Source organism: Homo sapiens, chromosome 5 (genome assembly GCF_000001405.40).
Source record: "Homo sapiens chromosome 5, GRCh38.p14 Primary Assembly".
Lineage (NCBI taxonomy): Eukaryota > Metazoa > Chordata > Mammalia > Primates > Hominidae > Homo > Homo sapiens.
The window spans coordinates 22573453-22601150 of NC_000005.10; the positions used below are offsets into that span (position 1 = coordinate 22573453).

Genomic DNA, 27698 nt, shown 5'->3' on the forward strand with positions numbered 1-27698 from the left:
ATCCACAAAATGTAAAATAAATGTTTAAAAGCACACACACAAAAAATAATAACCAGAATTATTTAGCATGTGGTTAGGGGGGAGATGGGTATGTATTAACTCTAATTGCCTTTCTAAAAGAAAGCAACCATGTCTAAAATTAAAATTTTAGTTTCAATTATTCAGGTCCATTTTAGTGGTAAAATTATATTGATCTTTTAAGTGTACTATTGAATATTGCATATGCTGTATGACATGTATTTGTGTATTTTTTTTCTTACAGTTTTCGTGTTTATTTCTTAAGATACTTGGTTAACAAAGTATTAGATAAGCTTCTTGAATTTGGAGATTATGTCTCCTCTCCCAGAAATCCACAATATGAAATTGATATATTGGACTGTAGAGGATCAATATAGACTATAAGACACACAGTATGCCCCCTCTAACCTGCTGAAACAGAGTTTACCTCTGGAAGGAACTAGCTTCCTTCCAATGAAGTGTCACGCTAAATGGTGTTGAACACTGACTCTTCTTGGAGTGCAAAAGACTTATTTGCTGTGGTCTCCTGTGCAATATTTGGCACATTCTTTATAATCTTTACCTTAAGTCTTTTTCATGGATACTTTTCTCTGTCTCTCTCTCTTTTTTTTTTTTTTTTTTTTTTTTGAGATGGAGTCTCGCTCTGTCTCCTAGGCTGGAGTGCAGTGGCGTGATCTCAGCTCACTGCAACCTCTGCCTCCTGGGTTCAAGTGGTTCTCCTGTGTCAGCCTCACGAGTAGCTGGGATTACAGGTACGCACCACCACACCTGGCTAATTTTTGTATTTCTAGTAGAGACGGGGTTTCACCATGTTGACCAGGCTTGTCTCGAACTCCTGACCTACTGAGAGTATTTCTTAAACCTCTTATCTAAAATTCATCACCGTCTTCAATTTCAGCATTCATTTGTCTATTCCTTTATTTTTTTCCATAACATGCCTTCACGTACCATAACACTCCCTTACACTGTGCCATTTATCTGTTTAGCACCATGCTTACAATGTTTTATAAAGGTAGATTTTATGGAATCAGCAACCTATCAAACTTATTAATCTGTACCTTCCACATATAGTAGGCTCTCTTAATTATGTAATAAATTAATGACTCAATATTGATAAACTGTATCTTTCTCAAATTCCATAAGATGGATTTCTATTATATGTGTTCCCAGACTTTTTCCTTAAAAAGCCTCTATCTTAGGTTCCTACGCTTGCCTTCAGGAGACTGACTTAACTTTCCTTCTCTTCCTCTTAACTCAAATGCTATCAGGTATAGTCACGGAATCATATTGTGGGTTTCCATGACTATACTTGAAGTGCTTCCATACCTGTTAGCATTTGATAGGCCAGAAACACGAGCCCTAGAATGAGTGTACTTTGTGATGTTTATTATGTTATCAGAGATGAGTGTTCTAACACCCAAGGCTTCTTCACATTCCCAATATGTGAAAGTGTGTTTGCAACCACAGAGAAAAGCACTCAATGCAGACTTGATTTTATATATTTTGCTTTCAGGTAAAATTAAACTTAAATTTTGGTTTCTGCATCTGTAAAATTCTGAAGAAAATTTTATGTTCATTCATAATGAGTGAAATATTGGCCAGCTCTATCTAGGACAGCAGGTAGAAAGAGAATAGGATTTCATGACACTAACAACGTTTTACATGAATGCAAGGAGGGAGAAATAGATCCCTCACCCAGTGTGTGGTGTGCTTGTGTGGACTGTGTGCTTAAGCATTTGATACAGACACTTTTTTTCCTATATTTCTTGGAATTTGGTAAAATAAATATATCCTCCTTCCCCAACCCTTATTGTATTTCTTCATCATTTTCAACCACTTTTCCATCCTTTCATAAAGCTGATCACCTTTTGTGTACTCTGGGCTGAGGATATAAGCAAAATTGCTATGCAGTTGTGGTTTGAAACATTTTTTTTTTTTTTGAGACAGGTTCTTACTCTATCACCCAAGCTGGAGGGCAGTGGTGTGACCATGGCTCTCTGCAGCCTCCATCTCCTGTGCTCAAGCAATCCTTCCACATCAGCCTCCCAAGTGGGTGAAACCAGAGGCATGTGTCATCATGCCTGGCTAGTTCTTTTATTTATTTATTTATTTGAGACAGAGTCTCGCTCTATCTCCTAGGCAGGAGTGCACTGTTGCGATCTCGGATCACTACAACGTCTGCCTCCTGGGTTCAAGGGATTCACATCCCTCAGCCTCCCAAGTAGCTGGGATTACAGGTGTGTGCCACCACTCCTTTCTAATTTTCGTATTTTTAGTAGAGACAGGGTTTCATCATTTTGGCCAGACTGGTCTTGAACACCTGACCTCAAGCGATCCGCCTGCCTCAGCCTCCCAAAGTGCTGGGATTACAGGCATGAGCCACTGCGCCTGGCCTTATTTTTTTTTATATTATATTTATTTATTTGCTTGTTTATTTATTTTTATCAGTGCAGGGTTTCTACAGGCTGGTCTGAAATTCCTGGGCTCAAGTGATCCTCCCACCTCAGCCTCCCAAAGTGCTGGACATGACCACCGCATGAGCCACCAAGCCTGGCCTGAAACACTTCTTTACATTTGGTAAACAACTACTTCCCAGAGGCCCCCAAGGGCCCCATCTCACTTTGTGTTCCCCAGGAATCTTCTGTGTTCTCAGGATATACAAACCTAAAAGTTAACGCCTATTATAACAGGGGTTCTTGAACCCTGCTTCATTCAGTGCTGATATCTGAAGACTTTCTGGTTGCATGATGGCCATGCGCAGTCCTGCTTTGAAGTTCTCACTACCTGGCTTCTGAACATCACCCCTGGCACCTTTCTCACAATCCACAGAGCCACTCTGCACATACTTCCCAAACCCTACCCTGTCCAGAGAGGAAAAGACCATGGAAGGTGAAAGGGGTAAAGAGGCAACCTTCATGTTGGTGTTGGGACCACAAATGCCTGTCCTAACACCATTTGATATTTTGAATAGCACATTAATCATAAATTGAGATGAATAAGAGGTATCCAATGCCCTTAAATATATGGAGAAATAGACAAGTTAAAAGGCAATTACTGTACAGTTATGTTCCGTAGAGTTTTGTGCACTAAGCAGTATCTTCAACCCAGCCTTAACACTGAAAGAACTAGAATCGGAGGAAATTGCCGTTAAGCAAATTCCTGAAGGCCACATAGCCAAGAAAGTTGCAGGTATGCTACTGGGGAGGGCAGAAAAAAATCCTATGTAGATCTCCAAGGAGGCGATGGTCCTTGCGTCTTAGGGAAACAGAAAGTAGTTCAGTGGGGAGAGAATTGATAACTGAGAGAGAGAGAGAGATACTGGAAGTGAGAATTGGGAGTAGAGACATGGTAAATATCATTTGTGCCAAGGGAAAGATGTTTTTCAATCTTTTTCTCCATACTCTAGCAGAGTTTGCTTTACGAAACCTTACTTCTTAAAAACTGTTATCATCACTCCACATTTCTCAAAGGAATAAATCCAAGCCTTTACCCATATTTCTCTAGAATCATATTTACAAAATGATATTAATATTAAAAAAAGGAGATTGCAAGACAGAGAAATGGCATTAAAACATGGAACATTTGTCCATCTTTCTACCTGTGGTAACATTTAAAAGCCTGCGTATTACAAAGGCTGAAAGCATTGGCCCAGAGACAGGCGGCTTGGGGAGTACCCAGGTCTGAGTCCCTGATTAGACCCATAACATTGTAAAAGCTACTCAACCAGTCAGCCCTCATCTATAAAAAAACGGGTTAAGCATAGAGCATGCAAAGTGTGTGGGAAGTTGCCTGCCCCAGATGCGTTCACTAAGTTAGCTACCACTGATTTTATTTAAATTATAGAACGGATAAGTGAATATGACTGCAGTTATGAGAAAAAGCCATAACATCCTTTTCTTTTTTTTTCTGAATAACTATTTGAGCACAAACTAATATCTTGTTCCAGATATTACATAGTGGTGGACAGCCTGGAAGGCAGGATATTATAAGGGCTTAATTTAAAGTCATCTCAGTCAAGTAAATTAACATATTCTAATAACTTCCTACATCATAGAAATAAGCCTGAAGCTGTTCCAGAATGTGTAGGCTGAGGTGAGGAGGCAGCCCAGGAGGAAACTAGATAAAGTGTAAACAAATTCAAAGATTATAGGCAGTTAATGGAATGGTGAGAATGAGATTGTATCTTCAATTTACAGGGACATCATGAGATAATTTAGGTAAATTAGACAGTTAAAAACTATGTCCAGATAACGGGAAACATACTGGATTACTGTTATTATCCCAAGTTTTCTTTTCTATTGTTCAGCAGCATCTACACAGTAATCATCAAAGAATGTAGCTGTGTGTATAATTTGCAAGAAGACCTAAAATTTTCTTTATTGCAAAGACAACCTGATTGCCTCACTATCTAAAAGGAACAACTAACATAAATTATAGCTAGAAAATTGCCTCACTAATGTAGTCCCAAATTAACCTCTGTAAATACTTTCATATGTTCAGGCATCACCAGAGACATAATTCTAAAAACATTTAAATGTATTACTGCAACCCAACTAGTGGATGAAAATATGTTGTTTGGCCTGGTATTAGAAAAGCTGAAAAGTCTTTCAAGTATTGTCATCACTCTTACTATTCATTATCTTTACATATCTCTCTTTAAATGGATGTGTTATATCCAGTGTCTTTCTACTCACTTCTAGTAAAGAATGATCATGCAAAAATTTTAAAATATAAAGAATAAAGATTTCAATAGCCATAGCTCTAAGTATCAATGTTTTCCTTCAAGACTTTTTATGCATCTTTATCTTAAAATTGCTCATGTTCCAAAAGGGGTATAAAATTGCGTCTAAATCTGTAATATCTTTTCCTAAACCATGATATGAACTATTAATATTTTAAACCAAGTTTGTGTGTGTGGGGGGGGGGTGTTTTTAGCATATTAGGACAAGTTAGTAATCGAGCAAGTATTCTGCTTTTATGTTATAGCAATTTGTTTTGTGTGTAAGTGCTCCTAAAACAAGCATCACTCTTTTGTAGAATACGGTTTTAGATTATAAATATGCCCAAAGGCTCAGCAAAGGGAATCTGACTATAAATTTAGCAGAAATAATAAATGTACTAGTTTCCACTGCTTTCCCAGAAAATCAGAATGTCTCCTTTTTAATGTTACTGGATTCATGTGTGCTCAGAAGCAGGCCAAAGCACCTTAACTGTTTCTTGTTTTCTCCTTCCTCTTTTCCTTCTTTTTCTTCTTCTTCATCTTTTTTTGGTGGGGGAGGGTAACAGGGGTAAAAATATTGCCTGAATATGCGTTTCTCTAGAAGGGAAATTAAACTGCTATTTAACTTGATCCGATCATTCCAGTCTTGAATTGTTTCTTCTCTTCTGTTGCTATATTTTAGGTTCAGAGTTCAATTAGCAAAATTATAGTTTCGTTTTTCCCCTGGTGAGTGTCTTTTAAACAAAATGATTTAAGCAAGAAACTGCTTTGTGAGTGATTACATTTATCTCAGCATGCATTCTATTTCTCTCTGGTTTGGCCAATTAGAGATATAACAAAGGCCTACGACTTCTATCACATCTACAAACTATACTGTTTGGTGTTACATTAAAACCTCAAACCTAATCTCTAAATAACTTAATCTCTAAATACTGGAATCTCTAAAGAGTTCAACTCTCTGTATACTACTTATAGATATGAGATCCATCTAATTTAAAAGACGGAGTTTATGAATATTAGTTCCCTTAGGCTACTGTGACTACTTCCCTAGGAGACACTGTGCTTAGTTTAATGATAAATTTTAAAAATGAAAATGAATATATTCATGAATATCAGATGTTATAAGGTCAACAATTGATTTGACTTGGAAAGAAATTGATTTTATTCCGATTTAATGACTTTTGTGCCCTTTTAGTCTTAAAATATTATTTCTATCATTAAATAATAGTGGTAACAGTGAATAGTTCCCTCACTAATGTGTATTATGATGAATTGGAAACAAAATTTTTAAAAATGTTTTCATTATTATTTATGATTTGTATGTGTTTTAAATCCATCCCTTTATTTTTTTATATTGTTGTTCTGATGAAAATTCCAGACTTGGATGACATGATTGGAAGTTTAAACTGAACATACCCTAATTTTCTTTTCTTTTCTTTTTTATTTCATTGTTTTCAAATCAACCTTATTTTAAACTCCCTCTTACACAGAGACACACTACACAATACAGTGTTAGAGCAGAAAATAAATTATTTACAAAAATCATTTAGAGTAAAATCACATTTTTATTTCAACAAATATATCAGATTAATTGTATCTTTATGATCATTTGTTGCTGTCAGTCTATTCATACTGGGAAAACTGTCACATTAAAAATCCTCAAAATAGTTTTAGCACAGGTCAAATCTTATTTTGCTAAGCCCCTGAGCTCTTCGAAGAGGCTGACCTTATGCATTGACCTCTTCCCCAGCTACCCTGGTCTCTTCTCTCCAGAATGCCTTGCTACATGCTCTGGCCTCAAAGCTACTTTTTTCCCCGCTCACATTAACTCTAGGTGAACATTTAATGATATCACCTTTTTAGCCAACGATGCTCTGCAGAAACCATGTAGCTTCTCTGACAAGTAGACTTAGAGTCCCTGCCCCAAATAGGACCTCATACCATTTTCCTGATGCTTACTGACAAGGAAGAGGATCCAGATGAGGGTACATTTTGGGTATCCTTCTTATTATTCATAAAATTGCCAATAATGGTCAATCTTCTAACATCTCCAAGCTTCATGTCTCAGATAATCATTCAAACATTGGATGGCAAAGAGGTCGTCGATGTCAAGCTTATTGGCAAACAAGTGGTGCTTGCACAGCATCCATTTCAAGTCACCAGCTCTGAAAATGCACACCAAGTGCACGTGGTCCCCATCGTAGGGTGGGTAGGGAGCATCCTCAGAAACATCACCCTCCAAGTACTGCCACTTGACAAACCTGGCGACTGCATGCGTGTCAGACAAGTCATACTTATGGCTTGTAGAGAGTGAGCCGGGGACTTCAGGAATACTCTGGATGGTGGCTCAGAGATGCTCATCAGGGCTGTATGTGTCTTGTGCTCACTCCATAAACTTTTGGATTTTTTTAATCCTGAAGTACATACCCCACATACTCCCTACTGACCACAAAATAGGCACAGCCTGAACAAAGAAGTGTTTCAAGTGGAGGAGGCATTTTAACATTCCCTGTGTTTGTCAGCTTTCCAAAAACCTCATACTGCTTTTTCCACCTTTCTCCTTTATTGGATAGCATCCTCTCCATTTCGAGGTTGTTTTCTCCCATTAACAACTTGATCTTATTAACAACATTATGTTATCATTGCTATGTTTTAGCAAAGAGACTGGCGGCATTTTGCCCATGGCCTAGAGATTTGTGGAACTTTGAACTTGAGAGAGATGATTTAGGATATCTGGTGGAAGAAATTTCTAAGCAGCAAAGCAATCAAGAGTTGACTTGGGTGCTGTTAAAGGCATTTGGTTTTATCAAAGGACCAGACTTTATAAAACTTTAGAAAATTTGCAGTGATACAATGCAATAGAAAAAAAATCCCATTTTCTGGGGAGAAATTTAAACCAGCTGCAGAAATTTGCATATGTCACAAGGAGTCAAATATGAATCCCCAAGACAATGGGGAAAATGTTTCCAGGGCATGTCAGAGGTCTTCACTGCAGCCCCTCCCATCACAGGCCTGAAGGCCTAGGAGGAATAAGTGGTTTTGTGGGCCAGGCCCAGGGTCCCTGTGCTGTGTGCAGCCTACAGACTAAATGCCCTGAGTCCCAACTGCTCCAGCCATGGCTGAAAGGGGCCAATATAGAGCTTGGGCTGTGGCTTCAGACAGTGCAAGTCTCAAGCCTTGGCAGCTTTGGGAACCTCTGCCTAGATTTCAGAGGATATTTGGAAATGTCTGAATGCCCAGGCAGAAGTTTGCTGCAGAGGTTTCCATACATCCTCTGAAATCTAGGCAGAGGTTCCCAAAGCTCAATTCTTGACTTTTCTGCACTGGCAGGCTCAAAACCACATGGAAGTTGCCAAGGCTTGAGGCTTGCTAGGGCAATGTGGAAGGAAAATGTGGGGTCAGGGCCCCACACAGAGTACCTACTGGGACACTGCCTAGTGGAACTGTGAGAAGAGGGCCACCATCCTCCAGACACCAGAATAAAAGATCCACTGACAGCTTACACATGAGCCTGGAAAAACTGCAGACACTCAATGACAGCCCGTGAAGGCAGCTGGGCTCTTAATCTGATAGGTTTTCCTTTATATGTTACCTGATGCTTTTGCCTCATAGCTCTTAAGTTTCTTTGCTTTGCCTGACCACATTTTTAACTTTTCTTACCAAATCCTGGCTAAAAAAAAATTACAGCCTGAAAACATTTCTATGAAAAAATAGGGGTAAGGGAAGAGTTCTAACAAGAACTTTTATCTCCTGAACTCGCCTATCTTTTCATCATAATCTTTCTGAGAACATTGTAACTCACGGCACATTTTATGAGAGTAAGGGTAGAGGTAGTATGTATGTGCAGATTAAAGATTAAAAAAAACAATATGTTTGTCTACCCTCTGGCCCCAAATCAAATACCCTCATATGTCAGACTTTGGGAGCATCCTGTATAATCCTCCTGTTGCTCCCAAAGAATACTTATGCCCTCACCATCATTAGCTCAGTGTTGATGTTTTATATTATTTTATCCTGTATGTATGTTTTCCTAAATTTATAACCATATGAATTCACCTTAATATAGATGACATACTATTTTATCTATGCTTTTTTGGCCTTTCTTTTCATCACCTGCATGTGGCAATGCATCCACAGTGACATATGCAGCAATAATTCATTTATGAATATGTCAAAATTAATTCATCCCTTTGTATGTTAATGGTCATTTGGGTCATTTCTACTTTTTTCCTCCCACTTAAAATAATGCTGTAAACTTTCTTGTATATGCTTCCTGGTGAGTGTATGAGTAATTTCATTACTGGATAGCATGGGATCTATTAATTCAACTTTACCAAATAATCCTAAATTGTTCCCACAGGAGTACCTGAGAGCCTCCACTGCCCAACATCTTTAGTATTATTTGTCATAATCAATTTCTAAAATGTATATATTAGTGAGAAACATTATTGTCAAACCATGTCATGTTTTTAATTTGCATTTCCTTAATTATCAATGTCATTTCTTTGTAAGTATAATTACTATGTAACACATTAGGCAAAGAATTACTGAGCATACTACTGAATCCTGAGTCAAAAAAGTTTACTGCAATTGTATCATGTTTTCATGAAAGATGGGATGGTCAAAACGTCATCTGAATTTGTCAAACTAGAGGCAAAGGAGCTGGGGGTTTGTACTCTTGAATGTGGTTATGGACTTTGGCCAGCACTATAGGGGGATTGATATAAACCCTCACATGTTTCTGGCTCTCTATTCAGGCAATGAAACCCCTGCTGCTAAAGGGTCATCTACCATAGAAGAGTAACAACTGGGCCAGTAGAGAGAAAAGCGCACTTTGAAGCAAGCAGAGAGGTACGCAGAAATAGTAACAAATTTCAGGGCACTCATCTACACAGAGTACCAACAGCATCCTCTCTAGGAGAATCTTGGTAGTTTGGTAAACGGAAAAGGGGTTCTTACCAAAGTGTTCAACTTAGAAGGATTTCTCAATAGCTATCTTTAAGGACTGTTCTATACCCAGTTGTCAGCAATGTGTTGACCAGTCACATCAGTGAAGACATAGAAACTATGTATATCAGATATGAAGATAATTTCAAACTAGGAAAATAACAAACACAAAATGAGTCAAATTAAGTTTTAAAATGCTGTTAATAGGCATGATTAGCAGACATGAAGAAGACAAATTTAAAATATTTTATTTATATTTTAAAATTCACTTATTTACATACAGAAAAGAGAACCAATTTAGAAATTGATAGTTTTTTATTGACCACATGCCTAGGTAAGTTAACGACTATGGTGAATTTGCTAAAATAAGATAATGAAATAACATAATCCTTTAATGGAAGGAAACCGTCTTAATCAATTTAGATATGTTCTGTTTGTAACACATGTAGAGGTTATTTGCCTTGGAATGCCATGATTTTTAAGAGATAATGTAAAACAAAAGTCAGAACAAAAAGGAACATGAGGATGAAGATGGGATTTTGAAAGGAGAATAAAAGTCACAGATCTGGGGGATATTGAATCTGGAAAAGAGATTTTTAAGAAAGAACACTCATCCATAGTTTCCTAAAACTTTTCACAGGCTTTTTTCTTAAAATGAAATCAATAAAGATAATATAGTGTCTTCATTGTGAAATTTAACAAGTATAATAAATCAAACACCCTATGCAACTAATTTATTATTCATGAAATAAACTATGATTAGCTCCTATAAAAGAAACAAATGTATCTCTTCCCAATCAGAATTGCCTCTTTCTGAATAAAGTGAATCTTAGTATTTACTTTTTCCCCCTGGTTCTGCACTAATGTATCCATCAAACTATTATCTAGTTGCTTTTTTTTGCTTTTGAATTTTTTTAAGGGGAATCATCTATATTGTTTGCGGAATTTATTTATTTATTTATTTATTTATTTATTATTTTTGAGACGGAGTCTTGCTCTGTCGCCAGGCTGGAGTGCAGTGGCACGATCTCTGCTCACTGCAACCTCCACCTCCTGTGTTCAAGGGATTCTCCTGCCTCAGCCTCCCAAGTAGCTGGGACTACAGGCATGCATTATCACACCCAGCTAACTTTTGTACTTTTAGCAGAGACGGGGTTTCACCATGTTGATCAGGCTGGCCTCAAACTCCTGACCTCAGGTGATCCATCTGCCTCGGCTTCCCGAAGTGCTGGGATTATAGGTGTGAGCCACTGCTCCTGGAAGGAATTTATTTTTTTTAATTCTGTGTTTTTAAGATTTTTATTTTAGTGAAACTATAATTTATTCATTTTTATTGTTTGCCATTTAAAAAATATAACACAATTTAACTATGTATATTACTATGGATTAGCATTTGAGTTGTTTTGAATTTTTTTGTGTGTTACAAACAATGCTGCAATTGATATTTCTGTGCATATGTGCATTGAATTCTTTAGCATATATTTCTAGAAATAGTAATGGCAGGTCATCTCACTTTGGTTTTCTGCTGGCTGTGATATTTCTCTTAGCTCATTTCTTCCTTCTTTTTATGTTCTGATTACTTTTTGTCATTCCATCCTTTCTTTCTCTATAAGTTATAGGCTCTTACTATCTATTGAAATAGGTAGCCTAAAAATAAAATACATATACTGAACTTATCATAGCTTACTGTGTTCATCGTCATTTTTACCCTTCTGACAGGCATCACAAATTACCTTGAACTCTTTAACACCATTTCTTTCACTCTTTTGCCTTACAAGATACTGCCATAATATTTATCTTAAAAAAATTTACTACTAAAAAAAACCTTGTAAGGATAAATTATTACTGTTTAATAAGCTAGCTTTCAGTTCAGTTACATTTATCACTCACTTCCTTTAAACATCTTAGACCTCTCTCCTATTCAGTATAATTTTACTTGCCTAAATTATTTTCAAAAGTTAGAATCTTCTGGTAGAATATACTTCTGTTATTGTTTTTTCTGAAAGTAACGTTGTTTTTGAAAGAGTTTGACATGTACGGAATTCTACATTAGAGAATATTTTCTTCCAGCACCCTGCCTATTTAATTCCACTATGTCTTCCATTGTTGCTGCTGGGGTGTAAAAGATCAGCGTAACCGCCACTTGCTTGAAGAAACTCTCTTTTCTTGCTATTTAAAAGATTTTCTTTTTGTCTTTGATTTCCTGCAGTTTCACAATGATTTCTTTAGGCATAGAGCTCTTTTTTTTACCTATACTGTTTGAGATTTGTGGAGCTTCACGAATCTATGGATCTGTATCTTTAAACACTTCAGGACAATTTTTAGTAATGATATTGTAAACACTGCCTGTGCCTTATTCTTCCCTCCTCTTATCTTCTTCGGGAAAATCCCCTCCCTACTCAAATCACATGTTACATATTCTCATTCTAATCTCTATGTCTCTTAACTTTGTCAACATTCAATGTTTTTGTCTCTCTGTGTTCATTTTTGATACTTTCTTCTGAAGGATCTTTCAGTTTACCAACTGTCTTGTCAATCAGGAAAAACCTGCCCTTAAACCCGTCCAGTGACATTTTACTACATTTTTTTTTTAAAGTTTAATTTTGTTATTTTCAGAGCTGCTTTTTTACTTTTTTGGAGCTTTATGGTTTCTAGGTCGTTCTTTCAAAATTGCCCTTAGAATTATTTATTTTAAAACTTGATCTTTTGGCTTAAGATTGACTTGGCAATAGGAACAATTTTACACTGTTGGTGGGACTGTTAACTAGTTCAACCATTGTGGAAGACAGTGTGGCGATTCCTCAGGGATCTAGAACTAGAAATACCATGTGACTCAGCAATCCCATTACTGGGTATATACCCAAAGGAATATATATCATGCTGCTATAAAGACACATGCACACGTATGTTTATTGTGGCACTATTCAGAATAGCAAAGACTTGGAACCAACCCAAATGTCCAACAATGATAGACTGGATTAAGAAAATGTGGCACATATATACCATGGAATACTATGCAGCCATAAAAAATGATGAGTTCATGTCCTTTGTAGGGACATGGATGAAGCTGGAAACCATCATTCTCAGCAAACTCGCAAGGACAAAAAACCAAACACCGCATGCTCTCACTCACAGGTGGGAATTGAACAATGAGAACACTTGGACACGGGAAGGGGAACATCACACACTGGGGCCTGTTGTGGGGTGGGGGGAGTGAGGAGGGATAGCATTAGGAGACATACCTAATGTAAATGATGAGTTAATGGGTGCAGCACACCAACATGGCACATGTATACATATGTAACTAACCTGCACATTGTGCACATGTACCCTAGAACTTAAAGTATAATAAAATATATATATATATAAATAAAAATAAAACTTGAAGTAAAATATTTCTGCAAAAGAGATATGGGGATTTAGAAAAAATTATTGAAAATCAAATGATATCCTATAATTACATAAAGATGAATAAACATTTTGAAGCTTGCTCTGCTGAATTTTTCTCATTTTCTCCTTCACACCAGTTTTCACAATTTTTAATCCTGATTTGAAATATATTTTTTACTGTATCAATGGGGTTATAGATTCACTGAATTCCACTGTGTTTGTCCATTTGGAGGCTCTGGAAGGAGCTAACAGAATGCAATGGTTTGAAGGTGGAAACATAATCCCCAATGCAACAGAGTTTAGAGGAGGATTTTTTTTTTTTTTTTTTTTTTGGAGAAGACAGAGTTTTGCTCTTCTTGCTCAGGCTGGAGTGCAATGGTGTGGTCTCGGGTCACTGCAACCTCCGCCTCCTGGGTTCAAGTGATTCTCGTATCTCAGCCTTCCAAGTAGCTGAGATTATACCACGCCTGGCTAATTTTTGTATTTTTAATAGAGATGGGGTTTCACCATGTTGACCAGGCTGGTCTCGAACTCCTGACCTCAGGCGATCTGCCCGTCTTGGCCTCCCAAAGTGCTGGGATTACAGTCGTGAGCCATTGCGCACAGCCTAGAAGTGGACTTTTAAGAGGTAATTAGATCGTGAGGGCTCTGTTCTCATGAATGGATTAATGCTGTTATTGCAGGAGTGGGTTAGTTACATAGGAGTATGATGGGGTATTCACTTGCCCCTTTCACTTTCCACCATGGAAAGGTGCAGAAAGAAGGTCCTCACTAGATCCAGTCACCTCGACCTTGGCCTTCCCAGAACACCATAAGAATAAACCTCCGTTCTTTATAATTACCTAGTCTCTGGAGTTCTTTTATAGCAGCACAAAATGGACAAATACAGAAGACAAGATGAGAGTGAGAAGAAACTATTCATGTTCCTGGGTCTTTCATTTAATTTCATCAAGGGCTAGCTGTGTCACTCGGATGAAGGCCAACCCTCCTGTTCAACAGCCTATGCTACAGCTATAGTGTCTAGGATATGCTGGCAGCTAAATTATTTGCCTCATTAGACCAAGTGGTGATACCAGCTCCCTTACTGCAAGTCACTAACACTGCACTAGTATGTGTTGGTTGACCTTACCTCTACACATACCTTTATAACAACTAACAACTGTCCCTTTATTAAACTTACCAATAATCTGTTCCTCTTTACTAACCATTTTCTGTTGAGACCCCGAATTATATGGACCTAGAATGGCACATTACTTTTCTATGAATCAACATTCAATAGATAGATACTAAAGCATTTTATAGAGAACTTTTTTGGTGGAGATATATATATATATATACATATATAGCACACATATATAAATCCACATATATATTGTGTGTGATATATATAATATATATAGATTTATATATATATTATCCACCAAATATATCCATATTATATATATAATCTCCATACATATATATGTGTGTCTATATACCTACCAAATATATCCATATTATATATATACACACATATATATGTGTGTATACAATTTTATCATATGCAATAAATACATACATGTATATGTATATATGTGTGTATATATACATAATATTTTACTCAAGGACCATTTATTCTATTAGGTTAAATTATAAATATACATAATTACAATTAGTTGCCAAACTAATGTGTAGAAATGGAATAGACAGGAAATTGTAATACTTAAAACACAATGTTAAAAATTAACAAATCTAAATCACATACTAAATATCATGTTAAAGCACAGGAGGAATAATGTAAACTTGAAATTTTAGGCCACATAGACTAGTAAATTGGAAGTCATTTTATGTTAAACATGAATAGAAGAGACAAAGATATATTTCTTAATTAATTTTCATACGCCATTTGTAGAGTTAGCAAAATTTGCCACTGAAGTTACCGAGCAATACGACCTGCAAGGGTAGAACATAAATGAGGCAGATCTGGGCCTGAGGTACTGGTTTGGGATTAATTTGCATAGGTTAATGGTTGAAGTTGCAACATGAGTAATATCCGTACAATAAACTGTTAAGAGAATTGCCACAAATACATATTTTTGGGAAAAAAACATTATTTATGAGCAGGAGAAACAAATATCCAGTCAATAAAATAGATAAAAAGAAATGTAAGGGATTTAATTAGATAAGAATAATGCTATCAGCTCACTGTCAAATCTACTAATCTGCTGGTACCTTACTCACACTCTCTGTCTTCTCTCCTGTCACAGTGTGTTAAATGCTCCTGCTCCCACCCAAACCCAGTCCTTTATATTCTGGACCACATTCCTTTTTACTGCCCTGAATAAGCCCTGCCCCTGCAGTTATCACCTTTTTCTCTTGCATTGTAATTTTTTCTTTTCTTTGTAAGATCACTCTTATAGGCTATAACCACGCCATTATACTATCTTTAAAAAATAGTTCACCTGATATAACAGCCCTGTGTTAGATTTGATTATATTTTTCATACAAGTCTTTCATACCTTTCTCTAGATTTTGTGGTGTATATTTCCCAGCCCTGTTCATATTGGGAACAGGCTTGGCTGTTCCCAATATGGGCTTGGCTGCATCATTGATTGCCTGATGGAATGTCATTGGATGTGACATGAGCAGAGGCTTGATGATCACTTCTGTTATTTTTTCTGCTCTCTTGAATTCCTACAATGTGCATGAGAAGCACAGAAGACATGTAACTGCTGGCCCTTCAGCCTGTGCCCTAGAATGAAGACACGAGGAACAAAACTGGACCCAACTGTAAGCCTGGAGTGTCATCAGGTCAAGACCAATCCAGTGGAGATCAGCCAAACAGAGCCAATCTTCAAACAAGGGAGCATAAAAATCAATGTTTGATGTTGTAATCCATCAAGATTTTGAGGCCCATGGCTCCTCAAGCTAAACCTGTCACGTTGTTCTCTATTCTTGCTTTCACTTCACTTTCCTTTTTTGTTGAGAATTATGTCCATGTCATTTCATGAAACTTGTTACGTTGAGGTAATCAAAGATTGCTAGTCTGACAAATCCTGACAAATCTGAAGGTCACTCCTTAGCCTTCTTTTAATGCATTTAACATATTTGTCCACTTCCTCCTTAGAACACTTTTCCTCGGCTTCTGGAACATCCCACTCACGTGATTCTCCTCCTTCACTGTCACTTATTTTTAGTTTTCCTCTTTCTCTTCCTGGCATTTCAGTGTTAGAGCACCTGAAGATGTGGTTCTCAGTTCTTTTTTCCTTTCCATATATACTCACATTTCTCTTCTGTACATAACTTACATCCTAGAGTATTTTATGTCATCTCCTGATATTACCTATCATTTTTTTGTAATGACTAACAAATTTATATCTAATGTAAGCCTCTCCTTTGGGTTCTAACCCACTATTATCCAACTTCACTTGAGATTCTAACAGAATCCTCAAATTTACCATACGCTTCATTATTTAAGACAAAGGCAGCATACTATGTAAGACGTCGATATATGGGAGCCTGAGGTTGGTATATATGGGAGCTCTTTGTACTATCTCGACAATTTTCTGTAAATCTGAGACTATTATAAAATAAAAATATTATGTTTTAAAATATGAGACCCCTTTTGGATAATGTACCTAAATGATAATTTGACTTAACAGTGGTAGGGAATGCAGTTACATTAGTCTTCAGGTAGCAGAATAGGCCATCTCGTTAAATATGCACTCTTTCTCTCTTTTGAGTGACAGAATCTAAAGATCATGAGCCTCAAAAATGAAAGCAAAAAGAAAAAGAGAGAACATTTTTAAAAGTACAAACCTTATACACCTAGTATATCTATATTGGTATGAATTATACAATGACACATGGAATTACCACTTGATATATCCTATGATTAAAAAAACATGTAAAGTCTGGATCTTTTAATTATTGTGATCTTCTTTCACAAAATAAGCAAATATTTAATATAAAACTGATTATACAGTTGAAATTGCTAATCACTGCATTACAGAGATTTTTCTTTCCTCATTAAATACTCTTTAGTAATTTTTAAGAAATCCAACATAAACAAAGGTAAAGCTTAATTTCTAAAATTCATTCCAACTAGTAAGAATTCAAAAGATCTAATATACTTATTTATGTGACAAGAATGCAAATTAAATTACTGTTGTCTTATTCTAAAAACAATATTTGCAGGTTGTTTTCAATAGCAATTAAACCCTGTTTTAATTTTAGTATGGCATCTCCATTTGCTCCGAGTATTACACCCCAGTCAGGGCCTATTTGCAGGTCTGTTCTATTGCACAGGCTGTATGTTTCCTCCTATTTTCTTTCTCTGTTTCAACTAAGTCTCCCTTTTGTCTCATACATTTCTCTTGACACTAAAGCTATGTATTTTATGCTATTGGCGGCTTGTCCTGAAGATAGTTGTAAAATCTGTCTTTTTCCAATTATGAGAGGTGTTCCATAAATTCTTTGGGGAATATTCATTTTGAGATGTGCGCCTGTAACTCCCATTAATGTTGCCCATTTAAACTTGATTTATTGCTTTCCTTTTCTGTCTAAGTGACTCCAGCCTCCCCGTTAATGCAGTTTGTTTATAATCTCCAAACTCCCCCTTACCTAAATGCAGTCTCTCACAAATGCTTTGCATGTAGGTCATTTATTAAATTGTAAACCAAAGTAATATAAAATCAACTAGTTTTTTGAAAGGCTGAATTTTATTCTTTTTTGGATGCCTCCTGCCATGATATAAAATACAATATTTGAGCTTGGTCAACTGAGAAAGAGTAACCTTGCACTAAAATAAGCCTAGCTATAAAAATAACTTGCTTGGATTGATCAATGAAACAATGACCTGAAAAAATTAATATCACAGAAATTATAGACTAGATAATATTTTTTAAAATGGCATGTTTGTAATTTTACAGTTGAGGTTGTATTACTAGTCTGTAAATCCATTTATAGCTGTGAATATGTAGTTGAAATATTGTAAATACATATTCTCCTGAAAGTAGCCAGTCTGTAAAACAAGTTCCTGTTTTTTTATCATTTCATCTCATTTTCTTCAACTTTTATTTTCCAACTTCCAAAATGCCTCATACTACTAAGTTGACTCATTCAGTATCTTAGTTTCCAGAACATCACTGCCCTATTGGAGTCACTGTCCCCAGCTGTCCCCAAGTCATACCAAAGAGTTTCAGTTCTCTTTCAGTTGAGTTTTCCATAACACATATAGTTTTATAGATATTGTATATTATTATCTATGTGCACATACATCATGGACCTTGTCATCACCCAGGATATACAGTTTTTAAAACTGTATGTTGGCATTACATTTTCTTTACTGCCCTATGATTAATGTTCTAGCTAAACTTTGTCCTTTGATGAACTATTCTCCCAGGTTATTGCTTCCTTGAGATATCATTTAACAAGTTATTTGGCTTGAATCTTGTGACCACCATGTGAACCCTAAGTCATGCCTTTTACTATCAGCTTGCATTTATTTGCTACTTTAATGTTTTACCATAGTCATGCAGTCAATATAAACCTTGGGTACCCCTAAGCATTTCACTTCTTGGATTCTGCAATAGGTAGCTCATAGACAGGCTGCAAGGCTCCAGTGCATGTAGATTTACAGCTTTCCCAGGAAACTTAGTTACATTTATGAATTAAAAATAAAATCTCTGATCAACTCATCTGGGCCTTTTTCTCTTCTGAATAATCACTGTTGTGAACATAATTCTCAAGCTCCTCTTTCCACAGGCTGTACTTTCGGCATGTTGCCCAGCCTTCTCCTTCACCAAAGTGCAAACAGTAATGTTTTCTTCTTTCCTCTCTTCTCTCAAAACTAAATTTCATCTGCACTTTCTCTTCCTGCCAGGGTCAGGTGAAACTACCCCCATCTATACCCAAGGTTGCCATCTTCTCCTTCTTCTAGAATCATACAAAATTAGTTTACTTATCTCTTGTGCTTTTAGTTTTTCTAAATTATGTCTCCTCTTCCTTCGTTTTCTCTTTCTCCTCCTATTGCCATAAATTCATAAAATATTTTTCAGTGTTTTTAGTATTTTTAAACCTTTCTCTAGCATGCCTTCCTTTAGTATCGCCAGGTTTAATGAAAAAGACAATTCACCTTTATTGCTTCATTTTTAAACAGCTCTCCCCCTCCACCCCCCACCACCTCCACCCAATCCACTGCAATTTGATGATTGCAGTCACCATTTTACCAGTCTTGAAAATGTTGATGGTGGCCAGGCATGGTAGCTCACGCGTGTAATCCCAGCACTTTGGGAGCGGATCACCTGAGATCAGGTGTTCACGACCAGCCTGTCCAACATGGTGAAACCCTGTCTCTACTAAAAATACAAAAATTAGCCAGGTGTGGTGGCATGCGCCTGTAGTCCCAGCTACTAGGGAGGCAGAGGTAGGAGAATCGCTGGAACCCAGGAGGCGGAGGTTGCAATGAGCCGAGATCTCACGACTGCACTGTAGCCTGAGTGACAGAGAGAGACTCCATCTCAAAAAAGAAAAAAAAAAAAAAAAGGAAAAGGAAAAGAAAATGTTGATGGCATTTAACATGCAAGATTCAGCGATCTTGTACTAACCCTCATTGGTTTAAAGTTTGCACTTGATTTTATAATGATCTCAATCCCTTTCTATGGGACACCGTCTACTCTTGATTTCTGAGACATGAGTACATTTGATGTGCCTCCAAGCATTCTGTCTCTCTCTCTCTCTCAACCATGTTAACAAATCCTAAATTTGTATATTTGGCCTAATTTTTCTCCTGAGTTACAGAGCTATATTTCTAATATTTGCTAAAATTAATTCTAATAAGGGACCAAAACCCTAAGGTTCCAAAACAAAACTATCACTGATTAGCTACCCAGAAACGTTACCTTCTTTCTCCTGTTTTCCCTGTTTTACTTAATCTTTAGAGTAATAATGTATTCTTCTTTTTGTTACCTTTCAAATTTTCTTATCCTTCCAATTTTACATCTCAACTCTCTGCTCTCATTTATTTTCCTAGTACAGGTCCTCTCATCTCATGTTTTAAAAAATTACATGACTGTATTTTAATTATCTCTTTTTGTAACATTTAAAAAATTAGTTACAACTATTTTGGTTGAAAATGGTCAAAACCTAACTCCAAGTGGTTATTAAAAATAAAAGAATAGTAAATACCAGTAAGGACCAAATGACTGAAAACTCAGAAGACATTTTAGCTTTAGGCATGACTAGCTCCAAGTGTACAGATAATATATGCAGGTATTTGTTCCTCTTTATGCTTCCTGTTTGCTTACCTTTTTGTTGCCTACAATAAGGGTTCTTACTCTTTGTTCTCATAATGCTGCTTTTAGCTACATTCTATCAGTATGATCACGGGATAAATATAAAATGTCTATTAACTGATAGTTACAAATAACTGATTATCTATATATACTTGATTTACTATTTGCCTTATTAAAGAGATGAAAGGAAGGAATGCTTGAATTGGCCAGGTCTGAGATACAAGCCCATTCAACAATGAGAAGGGTGTTCAAACCCATGTGGTCTAAAAGACTGAGACTAAAGAGGGCCTGATACCCAAAAAGGAAAATGCTTGACAAGCTAAATAACAGATCCCTGTTATATTCTAATGCACAAATCTGATATTTGGCAGGTAGAGCCCTAAATTTTGAGCCTGGCATTAAGGCCCTTCACATACTCCCCGCTTCCTAGCTTTCAACAGCACAATCTTAGCCACACTGGGACTTGGGCTTCTCAAAGACAGCATGCCTGTGATGGGTATGGCTCACATTGTTCCCTGAAAACCCCCTTGTGTTCTCCATTGAATGGCAGTGCCTCCTCTATCCTACAAAGTGGAGCCCATATCCTATTTTGCTGTCTTTCTCCAAAGAGACGTACTCATCTCCATCCAGGTGGGAATTAGTTCCTACAGTGAACATAGTAGCAAACGCCCTACACCGACCTCCCTATATCCTTCCTTTGCTGCTTGAAGTAGGGATCATATATTGCTTGCCTTTTGATCCCCAGCCTTAGGCATAATGCTGAGAAGAATATACTTGGAAGAATTCCTGACATAGAGTATAAGCTCAGTAAATATTTGTTAACTCAAGTCTCTACAAACAGCTGAACTAGCGCAAGAAGTAGCTGAAATGAGCATTTTAACTTATGGATGCCAATTTGGGTTGGAAACAACTATGTATTTATATTAACTTAAACTTTATGGGGACGAAATGATTTGTTTATTGCATCTTGATATTTGAAGTTCATTTCAGGAACATACTGCTGAGGGGAAAAAATACAAGGACTGGCTGTTCTCTGTTCACCAAATGTTTCAGAAATTTAGTGCAAAATGTATGCTTCTATTAGCCTTCCTTCAATTAGTGATTCATAGCTATCTTGGATTTACTTCTCAGTGTAACACTCGGCACAGTTTTCAGTTATTCAGAACATAATAATGTCCCCAAACATTAAATAATTATTTCCACCATCTTTTACACAAACAGCTTTGTTCTCCCTAATTTTAACTGATGCTCAAACTCTCAAACAAATGTGGCCTTTAAATTTTAATGGAAGTCCATACAAAAAAAGACATAAAATGATATACTATTAAATATAAACATATTTAAACAAAATTGTTATTCCTTTATACACTATATTTTATATGGTGTTGGTTCTCTCTGATGCTGGAAATTCATCTTTATGATCAATTAATGCAAGATGTAAAATTGAATATAGTACTTGACTTATGAACCCAGAAAACACTAAGAGCATATCTGACCCATCCTGTGCATCTATTCACAGGTCATAGCCAAGTCAAACACAGACACAAAGTTATTTTGGCATATGATTTCAAGGAAAATGCCTGGAATTGCAATAACTATTCTATTACAAAAATTGATATGCAAGGTCATGATATGCCTGAGAACAATTTGATCATTATAGTAATGTTTACATTTACGTATTCATTCATTCAAAGACATCTAGATAAATAGGGAGGCTAAATAAGAGCTATATAAGTATGGTTATTTCATATTCACTGTAAATTTTTGCTAGAAAGTAAACTCATTAAGGGAATGAACCATTTCTCTTCCACACATCTCCTATGCCTAACCCAACACCTAACACATACAAGAGGTTGGTTGGTTGGTTGTAGTTATTGTAACAGTAGTCTTCATCTTCAATATCCACCACTACATTTAAACTGTGAATCCCATACCCTACAAATTCAATAATTGTTAGTAACAAGAAAAATGTTTCTGAAAAGCCAGGCATTTGGGCCGGGCACCGTGGCTCACACCTGTAATCCTAGCACTTTGGGAGGCCAGAGGCGGGTGGATCACAAGGTCAGGAGCTCGAGACCATCCTGGCTAACACGGTGAAACCCCGTCTCTACTAAAAATAAATAAATAAATAAAAATAAATAAAAAAAATTAAAAAAATTAGCCTGGCGTGGTGGTGGGCACCTGTAGTCCCAGCTACTCAGGAGGCTGAGGTAGGAGAATGGCACGAACCCAGGAGGCAGAGCTTGCAGTGAGCCGAGATCACGCCACTGCACTCCAGCCTGGGCGACAGAGCGTGACTCCGTCTCAAAAAAAATAAAAAAATAAAAAATAAAAATAATAATAATAAATAAAAAGCCAGGCATGGTGGCTCATGTCTGTAATCCCAGCATTCTGGGAGGCCGAGACTGGATGGATCACCTGAGGCCAGGATTTTAAGACCAGCCTGGCCAACATGAGGAAACCCCATCTCTACGAAAAATACAAAAAAAATTAGCTGGGTGTGGTGGCGGACAGCTATAATCCCAGCTACTCTGGAGGCTGAGGCAGGAGAATCTCTTGAACCCAGGAGGCAGAGGCTGTAGTGAGCCAAGATGGCGCCACTGCACTCCAGCCTGGGCAACAAGAGTGAAACTCCATCTCAAAGAAAAAAAATATATACACAAAAACAATCTGTCTCAGTAGAGAAAGAAAATAAAATCTGAAAGTTAGGATGTGAATGAGCAAAATGTGCTGGATACAGGAAAAAGATAATCTGAGTTCATCAAATGACTCAGGATTGACTAATAATGTTGGCCAGAAACCATGACTGGTATTTAAAAGTCCAGGGAAGTGTGATTCATTGCCTCACTGACTTTTTCTTATTTAATATTTTAACACATGATCTTAGCAAACCTGGGATTCAGTGTTAACAGTGTGTGGAATTTACTAATTTACAGGCTTCTGTTTTCAATAACTACTCTCATCTTACCAGTCATCTATCACGAGCATCTCTTCTTCTGAAACAATAGATCAGACATGTCATCTGTAATTTATATATATCTTCCACCAGAACTGTTACTCTTATTTCAGTTGACAAGAGTTATCTGCTTATTGCAAAACTTTGGTACAATTAAAACCACATTGAAATGGATGAAATATCCAGGGCCAAAGCCTGTTAATTTAGGATAAAACACGGGCCTCTATTTTTACCAATTTCATTATGATTATGATCCTCACCAAGGTTGGAGAATCGCTGGATTACTCTTTCTATTAAAATAAATTTAAACAAAAGAAAATAAAATAACAGGCACCTCTCTCTCCACCCAATTAATCAAGTTCAGGTAAAAATTCTTTGTCCTAAAAACTTACATATCCAGCAACCAAACTTGCCCTCTGTTCAGCAATACTCTCCCATTTTTACATATTTTCTTCCTCATTATATTACATATTTCCACAGTTTAAACAGTTTGGATAAAAATATAACAACTAATTTTTTTAAAGAAATTCAGCTTAAATTAACTAATTTGAAATATGTAACTTGTAGATAAATAAGCTACAGCTTTCAAATTTTAACCAGGCTCCACATATCATATGCACAGATGAGAAGTTTGTGCTTTAATAGGTCAGGCTTTCTTACAGTACATGAATGAGAAACCTAACTCCACTGCATACCTTATATCTAAATCTTTGCATCTCTGTTTCCTCTGCCTGGACTCATCTTCCTTCCCCACCAGATCATTTTATGACTGATTCCTCATTATTCATACCTCAACTCAAAAGATTGATTATCTTCAGAGCATTTATTAATATCTGAAATTTCCTAATCTGTTTGTTTCACTTATATTTTGTTCATCTCTTATCTCCAGAGTATTTGTTGTCAAACATCTAGAAGTGTGCCTTACCTATAACAGGTGCTCAATAAATATTTATTAAATAAATAAGCAAATACAAGGCTAAATGAGTAAAAAAATGTATGAATGCTTTGTCTATTAGGAGTTATCTTTCATAATTAATGTGGACTTCCATAATATTGTTCAAGTATTTTAATGTGCAGGTATTCAAGTAAATTGGTATTTTATCTCAAATATAGAAAATTATATATGTCTTCCATTAAAGTAACTTTACAAAATAAAAATATACTACAAAATATCAAAGATATAGGTAATATTTGATGAGTTAATTGAATCAATTGGTCAGGAATGGAAAATATTCTGAAGAACTGTCTCTACTCCCAATCAGTTGACTCATTTTAGCACTAAACTGAAAATTAGAAGACCTGAATTCTAATTGTATCAATAATCTAAACTAAGTTTGTGGTTTGGGTTTGTATAAAACTAAGTGCTCAGATGATGTAATGCTGAAGTTCCATTTCCATTTCAACTTTAAGATTCTGTGAATGAAATGGAAATGAGAAGGTAAAGATAACTTCAGCATTCTCCAGTAAATACAAAAATAAACATATTGATATGGTTAGGCTGTGTCCTTACCCAAATCTCACCTTGAATTGTAATAATTCCCATGTGTCAAGGGCAGGACCAAATGAAGGTGATTGGATCATGGGGGCAGTTTCCCGAGTGCTGTTCTCCTGATAATAAGTGAGTTCGCATGAGATCTGATGGTTTTATAAGGAGTTTTCTCCTTCACTCGGCGCTCACTCTCTATCCTGCAGCCCTGTGATGAGGTGCCTTCCACCATGATTACAAGTTTCATGAGGCCTCCCCAGACATCTGGATCTGTGAGTCAATTAAACCTCTTTCCTTTATAAATTACCCAGTTTGGGGTATTTCTTCATAGCAGCATGATAACAAACTAATACACATATGTTGCCCAAAGAATTAATAAATCCTCAGAGTTTTTACAAAACTGATAAAGCTTGCTTATAATCTACATTCTGTAAGAATTATAGTAAAGCCTCTTGTTTGTTTTACACTTTGGTTACAATTTAGAATTTATTTAATAATTTACAAAGTACTTTCACCTACATTATCTTAATTGATGCTGGCAACTATACACATATGCACACAGCCCTGTGTATGATCAGAGATGGTATCATTCCTACCATCCCCCTCCTTGTATCTCCCAAAATAAGGTAATCAATGTTTCTAGAAGTAAGTGGTTCCCTGACATGTGCACAGCTGGAAGTCATTGGCATTTTTGACTGAGTCAGTATTCTAAGTGATAATATTGCTATTACCTCCTGCATGCTGGATCTGTTTGCAGCCGTATTGCATGCCTTATTAGCTCTCACTTGTGTTTAAACATGGTCGCCAAAAATCAGAGCCTTATGTTTGATGCCTTTCTCATGAGATGTAGGCCCACACATCCAACAGCCTGCTAGATATTGCCAATTGCATATCCTACACCTATATATGGTTCAGCATCTCTGAACATGTCTCTCTTAAAGCAGTTCTTCAATCCTGTCCCCTGATACAGAAAATTGCACTATTCATTATTCAGCGGTCTGAACTAAAACCTCAGAAGTCTTCCTTGACAGAAGAATACTGGGCTGGTGATAAGATTCGGGAATAGGCAACACTGGTAGTAAAAAATACCAAAGTGACTACTTGAGGGAGTGGAAAATACAACAAAAGGAATAGCCTAGGTGACTTTACATTCACTGGGCTTAAATCTAGCCTAGAAATAATGCCCTCTGGCCACTGCCCCAGTGCATTCTTATAGTGCACGCTGATAAATCATAGTAAAAATATATCCTCCCTTTTGAAACTTGCCTACAGTTCTTATCATTGAAGTTTTATGTCCTTGGATATAGAAGGTATTTTCATTTTCACCAACTCTGTAAAAAAAAAAACTACTTCTGGATTATATAAATACTATGAAAATGTATCAGTTTAGAGTCAAACACCAATGGTATTATATGAAATATTTGATGGAACTATCCTATAAGGAAGCTTCCAATTTAGACAAGGTGAACGTTAGTTTATTATTTAAGTAGATATTAGTAAATATACTTATTTATGTATCAAATTGAAAGATGTGTATAATTTCCTTATGAATAATATATTTATAATGCACATCATCTTTTGCCTTTAATCTGCAAAGATATCCTAATAAATTCATATATTGTACATCCTTTGCTCAAAGAAGAACACTTTGGAAAATGGCCATTGCTGTGATTATTGTGGATTTATGTAGCTTCCAGCCACATACTGCATGTTTGTTTCTGGCTAAAATCTATTTTTTCTAATGAGCACACTATTAAAATACTTAAAATATTATTCACAGATTGTCTCAATGGGGAAAAAAAGACATGCAGACTCTGGAGATAAACACCTCCAGTTAAATCTGGGCTCTGGGGTTATACCTGTGTGCTGTTGGGCAGGTCCTTTTACTTGCTTTATTTGCATGATGGGGGTGATAGCATACAGGCACCTGTTGTATAAGATTATTATAAGCATTAAATAAGTTACTATATGTGAAGCATTTGAAACAGCATCTGGCACACAATGCTATTCGTGTCTCCTCTTAGTTTTGATGTTGCTGTTACATATCCCTGAATACTATTGTCCAGTTCCTTCCATTTGATTCCACTCTGCCCTGAAAGGTAACTACTGTACTAAATTCCATTTAAAATTTTGTGTTCATTTGTAGAGTTTTAGTACGTATGTATCTCTAGTTTTAGCAAGTATATGTGTATTTATTACATTTTAAGATCTTTATGGAGCTTTACTGTATATAAAATTGGTGCTTTGCTGTACTGTAATAATGCTTTTTTCTACCCAATACTGGTTCTAATGTTATCTATAGTGTTGCATAGAGTTGTTATTTATTCTTTTTTATATCCCTATGCTACCTTATGTGTAACTATACTAGAAATTAATTTTCCCTCCTCTTATAAATATGTATTTGGTATTATTGATTTTTGAATAATTTTTAATAATGCCAGATTTTTCCTTTGGTACTATTTAGTATAGTTTATCTTTTTTTCACCTGTCTACTGTCATCCTTTACGTAATTTTACATATATAATCGAATGGAATAAGCTGAGGGTCCATTTTGGCTTGACATATTTGGAAAACACACCCCAAAAAATGTGTGACTTACAGTAATTCAAGTATTTCAATTCTAGTAGATTCAGTACAATGACAATTATATGTTTAATAGGCAAAGTCTTCCCTTTAATAAAATAAAGCATGTAGAACTGTTAATAACACCTATGATGTGGTTATTTATATTTAACACTTGTAAATGAAGCTATTATCAGGGTAGAACTGGCCACTGAAGAATTTTTATTGCACACTTGACATTGTGCCAGAAATTTTTATGGGCAGATATTGTTAAGTGATATATTTCTTTTAATATATTTGAACACATTTAAACTAACATTAAGAAAAACAAACCAACATAAATTT

General features: G+C 36.2%; 1 protein-coding gene, 1 long non-coding RNA gene and 1 pseudogene across 6 annotated transcripts in view; 1 reads left to right on the forward strand and 2 right to left on the reverse strand.

The window, feature by feature from the left end:
• Positions 1–27698, reverse strand: part of CDH12 (cadherin 12) — a 1102672-nt gene that overhangs the window by 822780 nt on the left and 252194 nt on the right. The gene's annotated exons all lie outside the window — the stretch shown is intronic.
• Positions 254–15846, forward strand: LOC105374681 (uncharacterized). Its single transcript, XR_925843.3, has 3 exons — positions 254–1531; positions 9496–9589; positions 15768–15846. It is a non-coding gene; the product is annotated as an uncharacterized LOC105374681 (long non-coding RNA).
• GCNT1P2 (glucosaminyl (N-acetyl) transferase 1, core 2 pseudogene 2) lies at positions 6589–7367 on the reverse strand (annotated as a pseudogene).